This window comes from Homo sapiens, chromosome 12, assembly GCF_000001405.40.
Source record: "Homo sapiens chromosome 12, GRCh38.p14 Primary Assembly".
In the NCBI taxonomy this organism is placed as follows: Eukaryota; Metazoa; Chordata; class Mammalia; order Primates; family Hominidae; genus Homo; species Homo sapiens.
In genome coordinates, this window is record NC_000012.12 from 101,065,675 (window position 1) to 101,080,123 (window position 14,449).

The 14,449-nt window shown below is 38.9% G+C and overlaps 1 protein-coding gene and 1 pseudogene across 16 annotated transcripts in view; both read left to right on the forward strand.

Moving 5' to 3' along the window:
* Positions 1 to 14,449, forward strand: part of ANO4 (anoctamin 4) — a 411,381-nt gene that overhangs the window by 348,414 nt on the left and 48,518 nt on the right. For all 16 annotated transcript variants that reach the window (XM_011537912.3, XM_011537911.3, XM_047428302.1 and 13 more), the window contains one exon: positions 13,519 to 13,601. In XM_011537912.3, coding sequence (XP_011536214.2) covers positions 13,519 to 13,601 — 83 coding nt within the window. The remainder of the gene's footprint in view (positions 1 to 13,518; positions 13,602 to 14,449) is intronic.
* Positions 933 to 4,326, forward strand: SNX5P2 (sorting nexin 5 pseudogene 2; annotated as a pseudogene).

The window sequence follows — 14,449 nt, forward strand, 5'->3', positions numbered from 1 at the left end:
CAAACATTTAAAGAAGATCTAATAGCAATCCTACTTGAACTGTTCTAAAAAATGGAAGAGGAGGGAATATTTCCAAACTCATTCTATGAGTCCAGTATTACCCTGATACCAAAACCAGACAAAGACACATCAAAAAAAGAAAACTACAGGCCAATATCTTTGATTAATATTGAATCAAAAATCCTCAACAAAATATTGGCAATCAAAATTCAACAATACATGAAAAAGATCATTCATTATAACCAGGTGGGATTTATTCCAGAGATGCAAGGATGGTTCAACATATGCAAGTCAACCAGTGTGATACATCATATCAACAGAATGAAGGATGAAAACCATATGATCATTTCAATTGATGACAAAGAAAGAATTTGATAAAGTTCAACATTTATTCATGATAAAAACCCTCAAAAAACTGGGTGTAGAAGGAGAATACTTCAACATAATAAAAGCCACATATGACAGACCAACAGCTAGTATCATACTGAGTGGGGAAAAGTGAAAACACTTCCTCTAAAATCTGGAGCATAATAAGGATGTCCGCTTTCACCACTGTTATTCAACATAGTACTGGAAGTCCTAGCTAAAGCAATCAAATATGAGAAAGAAATAAATGGCACCCAAATTGGAAAGGAAGACATCAAATTATCCTTGTTTACAGATGATATGATTTTATATTTGGAAAAAACCTAAAGACTCCACCAAAAATCTATTAGAGCTGATACATTCAGTGAAGTTGCAGGATACAAAGTCAACATACAAAAATCAGTAGCATTTCTATATGCCAGCAGTGAACAATCTGAAAAAGAAGTCAAGAAAGTAATCCCATTTACAATAGCTACAAATACAATCAAAGAACTAGGAATTAACCAAAGAAGCAAAAGATCTCCACAATGAAAACTATAGAACACTGACGAAAGAAATGGAAGAGGCTTTTTCTAGAGATGCCCTGCTGGGAGAGTATCCATGGCTTTGCGTCCCCATCATGGCCCTGCGGTCGGCGGCCTCCTCCTGGAGCACAGCAAGGTCAGGTGGCACCTGCTTGAGTCCTGCGTTGCCATGGCCACAGTTCCTGAGTTGCTGCAGCAGCAGGAGGAGGACCACAGGAAGCTGAGATCTGTATCTGTGGACCTGAATGTTGATCCCTCACTTCAGATTGACATACCTGATGCGCTCAGTGAGAGAGATAAGGTCAAATTTACAGTGCACACAAAGACCACACTGCCCACATTTCAGAATCCAGAGTTTTCTGTTACAAGGCAACATGAGGACTTTGTGTGACTACATGACACTCTTCATGTACCCTAGAACTTAAAGTATAACAAAAAAAAAAAAAAAAAAAAGAAAGAACAGACCATGCTGGGCTTATTGTGAGTGTTTTAGAAAATCAAATAAGCTAGTTCTTTCTGCCTTGCTATTCATTTAGTTTAAAGAGACTTATATCCACTTTTTATAATGGATTGTGAAAATTTTGATTTCATCTACCTACTAGAGTATTTGCTAACTATTGGGTAAGTGGAAAATATGTGAAGGAATAGTGTTACAGCTTTGAGGTAATGCATACAGGCTTACATTATTTATGTTGTAAAGTGGTATAAACAGTGTAATGACTTTAGTCTTATTTACCTTTAGGTTTGGTTTTTCTCTGGTATGTTCTTTCCAATGTCAGTAGAATTGATTTCTAGGAAACATTAGTATTGGTAATAGTATGTGATAAGATTTCTCAAAAGTGCTGAAGGAGGCCATGCCTGTAATCCTAACACTTTGGGAAGCTGAGGTGGATGGATTACTGAGCTCAAGATTTCAAGACCTGCCTAGGCAACATCATGAGACCTTGTCTCTACTAAAAATATAAGAAATTAGCTGAGCATGGTGGCACATACCTGTAGTCCCAGCTACTGGGGAGGCTGAGGCATGAGAATCACTTGAACCTGGGAGGTAGAAGTTGCAGTGAGCCGAGGTTGCACCACTTCACTCCAGCCTGGGTGACAGAGTGAGACTCTGTCTCCCAAAAACAAAAAAGTGCTCAAGGAGGCAGTTTTCAGCCCTTGATTGTTAATTCTTGGCTGCAGGAACAGAGGCTTAGCTGATTTTAAAGGAGATTTCCATGCATTTTGTCCTGCCATGCAGACTGAAGAATCTGTCCAAATGACAATTTCTTAATAATTGAACAAAATTAGTACTGAAGCTTATATTTAGATATGTTCTGTTCATTCAAAATCAAAGTCCTTGATTATCCTTTGGGATTAGGAAAAAAATCCTTTGGAATACTGGAGACTTCATAATCTTGATGGCTAATCATTGGTGTTTAGCATTTGTTGTACTAGTTTTAGGCCAACATTGAAGCAGTATAGACACTGTTGTGCTCTGAACGATTGTCTGTAATGGATAAACTGGGCAAATGATTGCCATCAAAGTGAATACAGGAAGATACCTCCTTTTAAATGGCCAGAAGAAATAAGGAAGGTTAAGAAAAAACAGGAGTTGACTTTTAAATAGCCCCATAGGAGTGGAGTGGTTGTCTCCTGTGGACCAGCAAGAGTAGAACGAGGCACCAGCTAGAAAACATCGCTTCTGGGACAAGAGACTCATGAGTTCCTGCCTCTGCTGCAGATTCCGCCTGCTCCTACGAAGGCTGACTTCAATGGTCCTTGAGAGAAGATGCAGAAACTGGGAGAAGGTAAAGGGTCTTTGACCAAAGAAGAATTTGCCAAGATGAAATAAGAACTGGAAGCTGAGTATCTCGCTGTTTTTAAGAAGACTGTGTCCTCCCATGAAGCCTTTCTTTAGTGGCTTTCTTCTCACCCTGTTCTCAGTAAAGATCGCAACTTTCATATTTTCCTGGAATATGATCAGGATCTAAGTGTTAGGTGGAAAAATACTAAAGAGATGTTTGGTGGCTTCTTCAAAAGTGTGGTGAAAGTGCTGATGCAGTCCTTTTTACTGGAGTTAAGGAGGTAGATGACTTCTTTGAGCAAGAGAATGACTTCCTTATTAACTATTAGAGTAGGATCAAAGATTCTTGTGTGAAAGCTGACAAAATGACCAGATCTCATAAAAATGTTGCCGATGACTATATTCACACTGCAGCCTGCTTACATAGCCTGGCTTTAGAAGAGCCCACAGTCATCAAAAAGTATCTATTGAAGGTTGCTGAGCTATTTGAAAAACTTAGGAAAGTAGAGGGTTGAATCTCATCAGATGAAGATTTAAAGCTAACAGAGCTCCTCCGATACTACATGCTCAACATCGAAGCTGCTAAGGATCTCTTACACAGATGCACCAAAGCCCTCATTGACTATGAAAAATCAAACAAAGCTCTGGATAAGGCCCAGTTTAAAGAGCAAAGATGTCAAGTTGGCTAAGGTACACTAGGAGGAGTGCTGCCAGAAATTTGAATAGCTTTCCAAATCTGCAAAGGAAGAACTGATAAATTTCAAACGGAAGAAAGTGGCAGCATTTAGAAAGAATCTAATTGAAATGTCTGAACTGGAAATAAAACATGCGAGGAACAGTGTCTCCCTTTTGCAGAGCTGTATTGACTTGTTCAAGAATAACTGATATGCCTTCACTCTGAAGAAAAGAAATGAATGTGAAAGAAAGCCAAACATCACTTGCACTTAAATCATTACCAGCGGAAGATTTATTGTCTTCAACTTTAGTTTAAAATTATGTGAATAAATATTTTGATTTCTACAAATCTTAACATTTAACCATGTTGGTTTAAAAATATTGTTGCTTGCTATTTGGACATAACTAATTTTTCCTTGTGCATTTAATACCTCTGGGCAGAATCTAAATACTGAGTTCTCCTGTAGTATGTCTTTAGTTACTAAGAGAGGATGTAGGAGACATATGCCTTCTGGAAACAAGTAGAAGCAATCATCTGGCCCATGTCCTACAAACCCATGAATGTCAGGGAGGTGCCAGTTACAGCAGGTGATTCAGCAACTTGAGGCAGGTAACAGACCTTCCATTCCTCACTGAAGGTGGGGTTTGTGTTTTTGTTTTGCCCCCTGTTACTCCCCTGGTAGTCATCTGGTGTTTGTACTATAACAACAGCAAGAAAATCTCATTTGTCTTTATGTACTCTTGGCACCTCCTTTTTTTAAATCGAGATATAAATATTTGAGGGGAGAAAAGTATCTACGGGTATATATGGAAACTGATAATGTGGTCTACTTTATAAGATGGCCAGATCTACATTAGGAAAAGTATGAGCTCCTTCCATAGTGTCTGTGGGAGGTGATGGGGGGAGAGGGGACAGTGTATGTCTTTGGCGTTTGTTTTTTTATAAAGTATATAATAAAATAATCATGCTACTAAAAAAAAGAAATTGAAGAGGACACAAAAAATGGAAAAATAGTCCATGTTCATAGATTGGAAGAAGCAATATTGTTAAGATGCCCACACTACCCAAAGCAATCTACAGATTCAATGCAATCCCTATAAAAATACCAATTATGTGCTTCACAGAAATAGAAAAAATAATCCTAAAATTTATGTGGAATCACAAAAGACTCAGAATAGCCAAAGTTATACTGAGCAAAAACAACAAAACTGGAGGAATCACATTACCTGACCTCAAATTATACTGTAGATCTATAGTAACCAAAAAGGCCAAGTACTAGCATAAAAAAACAGACATATAGACCAATGGGATAGAATAGAGAGCCCCAAAACAAATCCACACACTTACAGTGAACTCATTTTTGACAAAGTTGCCAAGAATATACATTGGGGAAAAGTCTTTTCAATAAATGGTGCTAGGAAAGCTGGATATCCATATGCAGAATAAAGAAACTAGACCCTTATCTTTCCGCATATACAAAAATTCAAATCAAAATGGATTAAAGACTTGAATATAAAACCTCGAACTATGAAACTACTAAAAAAAAGCATTGGGGAACTCTCCAAGACATGAGACTGGGCAGAGATTTCTTGATTAATACCCTACAAGAACAGTCAATCAAAGCAAAAATGGACAAATGGGATCACGTCAAGTTAAAAATCTTCTACACAGCAAAGGAAACAACATGAAGAGACAACCCACAGAACCCACAGAAATGGGAGAAAATATTTGTAAACTATCCGTCTGATAAGGGATTAATAACCAGAATATATAAGCAGCTCAAACTACTTTGTAGGAAAAAGACCTAATAATACTGTTTAAAAATAGCCAAAAATTTGAATAGACATTTCTCAAAAGAAGACCTACAAGTGGCCAACAGGCATATGAAAAGGTGCTAATATCATTGCTCATCATAGGAATACAACTCAAAACTACAATGAGATATCATCTCTCCACAGTTAAAATGGTTTTTATCCAAAAGTCTGGCAACAACAAATTCTGGCAGGGATGTGGAGAAGAGGGAACATTTCTACACTGTTGGTGGGGATATAAATTAGTACAACCACTATGAAGAAAAGTTTCGAGGTTCCTCACAGACAAAAATAGTGCTACTGTATGATCCAGCAATCTCATTATCAGGTATATATTCAAAAGAAAGGAAATCAATATATTGAAGAGATATCTGCACTCCTATGCTTGCTCTAGCACTGTTCACAATAGCCAAGATTTGGAGGCAACCTAAGTGTCCATCAGCAGATGTATAAATAAAGAAAACGTGGCACTTATACACAATGAAGTACTAGTCAGCCATTAAAAAAAAAAAAAAGAGAATGACATCCTGTCATTTACAACAACATGGAGGGAACTGGAAGTCATTATGTTAAGCGACATAAGCCAGGCACAGAAAGACAAACTTCACATGTTGTTCTCACTTATTTGTGAGATCCAAAAGTGAAAACAATTGAACTCATGGAGGTAGAGAATAGAAAGATGGTTACCAGAGGCTGGGAAAGATAGTGTGGTTGGGGGTGGAGGGCTGAAGAGGAGGGGGGATGGTTAATGAGTACAAAAAGAAATAGAATGAATAAGACGTAGTACTTGACAGCACAACATGGGGACTATAGTCAATAATAATTTAATTGTACTTTTTAAAATAACTAAAATAATATAACTGGATTGTTTGTAACACAAAGGATAAATGCTTGAGGGGATAGATACTCGATTTTCCATGATGTGATTATAATGCATTGCATGCCTGTAGCAGAATATCTCATGTACCCCATAAATATATACACCTACTAAGTACCCACAAAAATTAAAAATAAAAAAATTAAATTAAAAAAGGTACAGCATTTTAACCCTTCCTTGGAACCTAAGCTATGCATCTGAAAGGGGAGTTTTTAACTGTATAAGTCTGTCTAAATGCCTTAGTAACGTGATGAATTATAGTAACTCAGTGTTTTTTCCTCCCTATTTGCAGAATGTTAACCATTGCTATGTTTTCCAGAAAAACCCTATATTAGTTAGGATGAGTAAAGTTAGCTGCTATAATACACAAACATCACAACCTGGTGTTTGATAGAGCCCAGTCAGATGTTCCTGGTTGGCAGATGGTTTTCCTTATGATCTTTCATATGGGTGGATGAGTTCCTTCCATCTTGTGGCTGCATCCCCTTCTGGATCTTCAGCATTCTCTCTCTTCATTCAGCTAAAGTATAAAGAGAGCACAGGGAAGATATACCTACTTCTTAACTCTTTGTCCAAAAATGACATATATCACTTCTTACTTTCTATTAGCCTAAACTTGGTTTGTGGACACATCTGAGATAAAGGCTGCAAAAATATAATCAAACTATGCCTAGGAGGATAAGAAATCATTTTGGTAAATGCACAGCAGCCTGCCACAAATTTATTTGAAATTGATAATAATTGTTCTATTTAAGAAAATACCATAAAAACCCTAGAAGAAAACCTAGGCAACATCATTCAGGTCATAGGCATGGGCAAAGACTTCATGACTAAAACACCAAAAGCAATGGCAACAAAAGCCAAAATTGACAAATGGGATCTAATTAAACAAAAGAGCTTCTGCACAGCAAAAGAAAGTAACATCAGAGTGAACAGGCAACCTACAGAATGGGAGAAAATTTTTGCAATCTACCCATCTGACAAAGGGCTAATATCCAGAATCTACAAAGAATTTAAACAAACTTACAAGGGAAAAAAAAACATCAAAAAGTGGGCAAAGGATATGAATAGACACTCTCAAAAGAAGACATTTATGCAGCCAACAGACACATGAAGAAATGCTCATCATCACTGGCCATCAGAGGAATGCAAATCAAAACCACAATGAGATATCATCTTGCACCAGTTAGAATGGTGATCATTAAAAAGTCAGGAAACAACAGATGCTGGAGAGGATGTGGAGAAATAGGAACGCTTTTACACTGTTCATGGGAGTGTAAACCATTTCAACCATTGTAGAAGACAGTGTGGCAATTCCTCAAGGATCTAGAACTGGAAATACCATTTGACCCAGCAATCCCATTACTGGGTATGTACCCAAAGGATTATAAATCATGCTACTGTAAAGACACATGCACACATGTTTATTGCGGCACTATTCACAATAGCAAAGACTTGGAACCAACCCAAATGATAGACTGGATTAAGAAAATGTGGCACATATACACCATGGCATACTATGCAGCCATAAAAAAGGATGAGTTCATGTCCTTTACAAGGACATGGATGAAGCTGGAAACCATCATTCTCAGCAAACTGTCACAAGGACAGAAAACCAAACACCGCATGTTCTCACTCGTAAGTGGGTATTGAACAGTGAGAACACTTGGACACAGAGCAGGGAACATCACACCCCAAGGCATGTCGTGGGGTGGGGGGCAGGGAGAGGGATAGCGTTAGGAGAAATACCTAATGTAAATGACGAGTTAATGGGTGCAGCAAACCAACATGGCACATGTATACATATGTAACAAATCTGCACGTTGTGCACATATACCCTAGAACTTAAAGTATAATAATAATAATAATAATAATAATAATAAAAGAAAATAATAGGGTGTGGCCTGAAGAACATTCAGCCCTGTCCCTTTTGTGTCTGTGATGGGCCTTATGAGACACCCTTCTCAACGGTCTGTGATTCTGAACCAAGAGTGTCCTGGTATCTGAACACTAACCTGCCTGAACACTACCCCTGATCCTACCTTTACTTAGAGAGTGGAATCCTCAGATTTTCCTAATATGTCGACTAACGTTGTGAGAAGATTGCTATTTGGGATTGGCATTATTAACACCTCAGATGAACTTTATTTGTGGGTATGTTTTTATTTTTATTTTTATTTGTGGGTAGATTTTATTTGTGGATAGGTAGGTACATGGTGGAGGTGAAGGTAGAAAATGGAGCAGAAAAAGCATGCAAAACTCTGTCTTGTAAATACAATTAATCGAGTGTCAGATGTTGTGGCTTGAGAGTGTCCTTTTCTAAGATCTGTGAGGGAAATGGTAGACAGGTTGTTTCATCTTCATGCCTTCAATGCAATGTCTTAGTGACCAGGTGACTTCATCTCCATTAAGGTAAAATGCCTATGTTCATTAAGATAAGGTTAGATCGCTGTAGCACAAAGGCAGTGGCTTTGAAAAACACAGAAATTAATTTCTATCACATGTATAAGTATGAAGTGAGCATTCCAGGCTGGCAGACAGCTCCACTCCACATGGTCACTCAGGGACTCATGTTCCTACAAAAGAGCTGTTTCCCATAACCCCAGAGCCTGTCATCACTTTCACGGTCTCACTGGGTCACCTGGGTTCTACCCGTCCAGAAGGGGAAAGTGGATACGGAAAAAGCACCCCGCAATGTTTTAAGAAGTCAACAGGCAAGTACTACACATCATATCACCTGTGCTCATATTTCACTGCTGAGAACTATCCTTTGGTCACATCTAATGCAAGGGTATCTGGAAAATACAATATATGTAGGCAACCATATTCTCAGCAACAATCATTTTATTGTGGAGGAAAGCAAGAAAGAATCTTAGAGGACAGTCAGTAGTCTCTGCCACAGGGTCCATACAACCAAATAATGAGAGTGATAGTTAGAACAGAATCACACTTTTATTGCAAGACAAAAGAGAAGCATAATAAGCTTCAAACGTTGATACTATTATTAAGTTATTTAATAGGCCCTGGTGTGTAAAGCATTCAGAAAGTGTAGCTGCATATTCTTCAAATTCATATCTTAATTTCTTATAAGCATATGAAAATATTTAGAAAATTAAGAATAGTTTTCCACATTTGCTTTCATTCTCAGGACAGCATTTCATTTATGCATTTATGGAGCCTCTCTGCGTGCCAGTTGCTGTGCTAGACTCTGAAGGTATAAAGACAACTAAGATACAGCTCTGCTCTCAAGAAGTCCACAAACTAGTCATAGATATGATCTGGGTTTGGGTTTTTATTGGTTTTGTTTTTACAGTGCTGAATGGTGTGATTAGCGCTGACCTAGAGTTGTGTGCACAACTCAGCATGGGTGCACAGGGATGATTCAGGGGGCGTAGTTACAGAACACACGGGGCTAAACCTGAAAGTGAGGGTAGGAGTTGACCAGATGGACCCAAATAGGGAAAAACATTACTCGCTAAGGAAATGGTGTGGGCAAACTGAGAAAGTATAAAACAGCTCATGTGTGAAAGTGTTAGTGAGTTAGCCTGGAGTCTGAAGTGCAAGTCAGGGCAGAGCGAGTTGGGCTTATGAGCTTTGCATCGTGAGCTGCTAACAGATTTTATTCTATAGGTGATGTGGCTCCACTGATTCCCAAGACACCTGGTTGGATCTGGATTTAGAGAAATCATTAGCAATGTAAAATGATAGATTGGAATCTAAGGAGTTCAAAATGCCAGCAGTAAGGCTAAACATGCTGATGCTTTAGCTGAGAAAATTCTTGTGGAAAGAGTTCCATGTGCCAAAAGAAAAAAAAAAAAAACACTTGACAAAACTCTTAGGAATTTCGTCTTTTGAGAACAAAGTCATAAAAGAAATACACTTTTTAATCAAACTTATCATAGTGCCAGGTAGTATAAGAGAAATATATATATATACACACACACACATACACATATATCTTTATATAAAACATAAAGATACATATATCTTTATATAAAACAAATATATATATCTTTATATATATATATATAACAAAAATATGTATAGCATAAACCACCTTTGAAGGAGACAAGAAAGTGTGAGCTCATGACATAAGACAGTGTATAACTAGGCACACTGAAAGTGCAGGGGCTCCCAAGGCTGTGAGTATTCAGAGGAGGGAGTTTAAACCATGGCATAATGAGGGATTGGAACTTTGCCTTGAAAAGAGACAACCTGTCTTGGTTTGACTACGTTTCATAGGTACAAATAGAGGCAGATTCTTCTTCCTCAAATGAATGGGCATTTCACCCAAACATACCGACAAGGGAATGGCAGTTGCACAAGCAGCTAATTTCTTCTTCTCTTCCTATTGAGTACTATAATGGAAGAAAGGAGAGGATTATTAGCCAAAAAAGGGAATATTATAGTGTGAATATTTATGTTCCCCCAAATTCATATGTTGAAATCCTATTCTTTAAGGTGAAGGTATTAGTAAGGGGGGCCTCTGGAAAGTGATTAGGGCATGAGAGCAAAGCCATCATGGTTGGATTATTGTACTTATAAAAGAGACCCCAGAGAGCTAACTACCTCTCCCACCATGTAAGGGCACAGCTGGCAGGTGCCATCTAAGAACCAGAAAGCAACCCTCACCAGACACCAAATCTGCTGGTGCCTTGATCTTATATTTCCCAGTCTCCAGACCAGTAAGAAATAAATTTCTATTGTTTAGAAGCTACCCAGTTTATGGTATTTTGTTACAGCAGCCTGAACAGACTAACACAGGGAATTAATGGTTAGAATCTCTGTTTCCTCCAGGCAGGATTCAGCAGGAATACTGAAGAAGGGTGATGGAATAATTGTGACAGCCACTGGCTCATCTTAGAAGTCAGTTCCCTCAGATGAGAACCATAGAGGGTTGGTAGGGCGTAGTGAGAGCAGCAGCTGCCAGTAAGACAGACTGGATGTGAATCCTATGGCCTGAGGCTGTCCCAGAATGGTCCCCCATCAAGTGTCTTTATGCTCATGGAGGTACCTTTGTGATTTTTATGGAAAATAGCCACATATTCAGGGGCTGGGCCACTTGTCTCTTCAAGAACAGGGAGACCCTAGAGACCAAGGAGGGAAAGTCTTTATAAAGTGGCATTTGCTTGAGGGGCTAGAGGACCTGATAAAGGAAATATCCCAGGGACTCTGTGCAAAGACAGTTTGGTGAGGCAGAGGGCAAGCGTGCAGCAAAGAGTTAACACAGCAGGCCTGCTTTAGAAAGGCCTGCTTGCAAGGGTGGCCCTTGGCTGGTGTCTGGGAACTTGGCTTTCAAGACAGTTTCCACCACCCTGACTGCTAAGGGTAACTCGTGATGCATAAACTACATGTGCCAACAATACAATTTATGCTTTCTCCCTGAAACTCTGGAATTTTAGTACATGCTAAGCAGCTGGTGCCTATGTGACCAGCCCCCAATAAAAACCCTGGGCACTGAGTTTCTAACGAGCTTGCCTGTCAAACAGCATTTCACATGTGTTGTCACAGCTCATTGGGGAGGAATTAAGTACATCCTGTGTGACTTCACTGGGAGACGACTTGGAAGCTTGTCCTGTTTCCTCCCTACTTTGCTCCATGCACCTTTTCCCTTTGCAGATTTTGCTTTATAGTGTTTCACTGTAATAAATCTTAGCCATCAGTACAACTGTATTCTGTGTCCTGTGAATCTTCCTAGTAAATCAAACCTGGGGATGGTCTTGGGGATTCCTGAGACAGCAAGACTCACTGGAAGGACTCCAGTAGAAAACAGCTGCTCAGCATTGACACAGATAAGCACATATATTTGTTTTAATTTCTATCTTCCAGAATAAGACATTTGATTATTTTAGGTGTATCTTCCTTAACAACTGTAACTACTCAGAATCTTTCAGATTTTAGGAAGGCACTGAATATACCATATATTATTAAATGCCCCAGGAGGCCTGGGGAATACATACTAATGTACTCAAATACATTAGTATGGCTGCTTTTAATACATGAAAAGTCTCACTAAGAAGAATAAATAGAGGTTATATGTAGCCTCACATCAGTCCAGGTCAGGGCTCACCACCAGATGAGTTTCTGCCAAACTTAGGGGAAAAACACTTAAAATTTTTAGAGCATTTTGAATTTTCGCATTGCAGATAAGGGATTGTGGACCTGTATTACCCTCCTTCTTTTGCTTATCCGGAAATTAAGGCTTAGAAAAGTTAATTGATTTGCCAACAGTAGCACAGCTTGTATCTGATCTGGATTTCAAATTTAGGACTGTCTAGGCTACATGCCCGAGAACTCTTATCTATCACTCTAGACTGTCTTTCTAGCTACTTATTTTAAGAATATGTCTTCAGTGTCTGCATACTACTAAGGAGGAAGTAATGTGTGAACAAGGGAGAATAGAAAAGAAGAAAGTAATTATATTTTTTTGACATGGCCATTTACATAATTTACTTTCCTTCATGAAATGGATTCCTAATATATATTTATTGTTACCTTCTGTAAGTCTAACTGCATGACAAGGCCCAAAAGAGAAATATCCACCCATTCTCTCTCCTAGGGTATGTCTGTTATATCCTTATAGTCATTCTCAGAGTGTGAGTGAGAGAGTGTGTGTGTGTCTGTATGCATGTGTGTGTGTGTGTGTGTGCCCCTGTATTTGCATTTTGCCTTCCAAGGCAGCAGGAGTGTGTCTTATTTTCTCTCTGTTTCTCTTTTATTGCATAATGCTCAATAATTCATTTAAGTTGATATGCTTTCATTAAATTGAGTAGAAAATTACCTTGGCTGAATGAAGATAACTCCCAGATTTCTCTGCATGGGGAGGCCAGCCACCTCGCACTTACTGGAGAAAGTTCTTAATAGACTTACCCACTTTTACCCTCATTGTGGCAACAAAGAAATGGTTTGGAGAAAAGAGAAACAACAGGACTCCTTCCAGTAAAACAGGAAAATATATTTTACATAGGTATTTGCTGTGAGGAGGATTTGAAGGGACAGGAAATCACTATCAAATACATGTGAACTGCCAAGTTTCATTTTGACTTTTCTGCTCCTACCTGCCTCTCACTTTAAAAAATAAGTGCTTGCTTACCCATGTTTAGGCAATAGAAAAAATAAAATAAAAAAAAATAAATGCTGTATCAATTAGATAGATGTCGGTAACCCAGTTTTCTGAATCCTGACATCCCAGAATGTAAGAATTTGTCATTCTAATAAGTCTGTTCTGCCTCAACTTGTAAATCAGCTTAATTCAATTCTAAGTGAAATCTCTCGTTTTTCATTATGTCTGACACAAGCTTAGTAATTCTCAGAAAATAGTCCTTGTGAAATGAAGCTCAGCTGGAAATTCTGATATTCGATGATGCTTACACTAACAACTGTCATTCTTGGCAATGGCTTCATTATTCAGTGACACAGTTAAGAGCCTTGTTTTACTTTTATTCAAAAATGTCTTTGTCTTTCTCTGCTTGTTCCAGCAACAGTTTTCCTGGAGTTTTGGAAAAGACGGCGAGCAGTAATTGCTTATGACTGGGATTTGATAGACTGGGAAGAAGAGGAGGTTTGTATCATTTACCTCAGAATGTTGTAAAAAGCAAATCACCCAGAACCACACGACCCCCCCCCAAAATTGTCACTCTCTGTTCTGTGACGGAAGTCAGGTGTACTCATAAAGCATTTTCAATTGCCTTTTCAGAAAATTTCAAGCAGTATAAAAATGGACTGACAATTTTTGTAAATTTTTGATTCCTTAGTGGAATCAAATCCCTTGATTAAGTGGAGAATTCCACTTGTAGGTAGAGGCACCAGAAGAATTGGTGGTGTAGCTTTTTTTTTCCATTTTCTTAAAAATCATCCTTTTTTCTCTAACTTCAGCAGAAAAAGAGCATTCATTTGACATCTCCAGGTACATGGAAGCAATCCTTCCAAGAGAATTACCCAAAGGCAGTGTGTCTGTGAGCAGCACCCAGGACCGTGCCCAGGTGTGCACAGGCTCTGAAGTATGACATCAAGTGTTCCGTGCTGGGGACAATCCACTCTGAAGCGGCCACCTTGGGAGACGTGGTTAAATGGAGGGCCAGCTCTAGACAAAACTGCCAAGGAGGGCCAGACTCAGCCCACCACTGTCCCTTAGCGTCTTCTAGGCCAGTCCGTTGTTCTCCTCCTGACCTGTCTTGTTCTAATAGTCTCTTCTTGCCCCTATTCCTGTCGGAAGTCTGAAGTACCCACACTAGGCGTGGTCACCACGGTCCCCTCTTGGACCCTGCTTCCCTTGACAGTTGGTCCAGGCCTCAGCCCCACTCTCCTCCCTCTCGTTCATTATCTCTTACCCCTCCTGAGTCTCATTTCCTCAGAGCCTTGCTGTGCCAGTAAATCAGATAAACCACTCATATGTGTAATAGTTTTTTG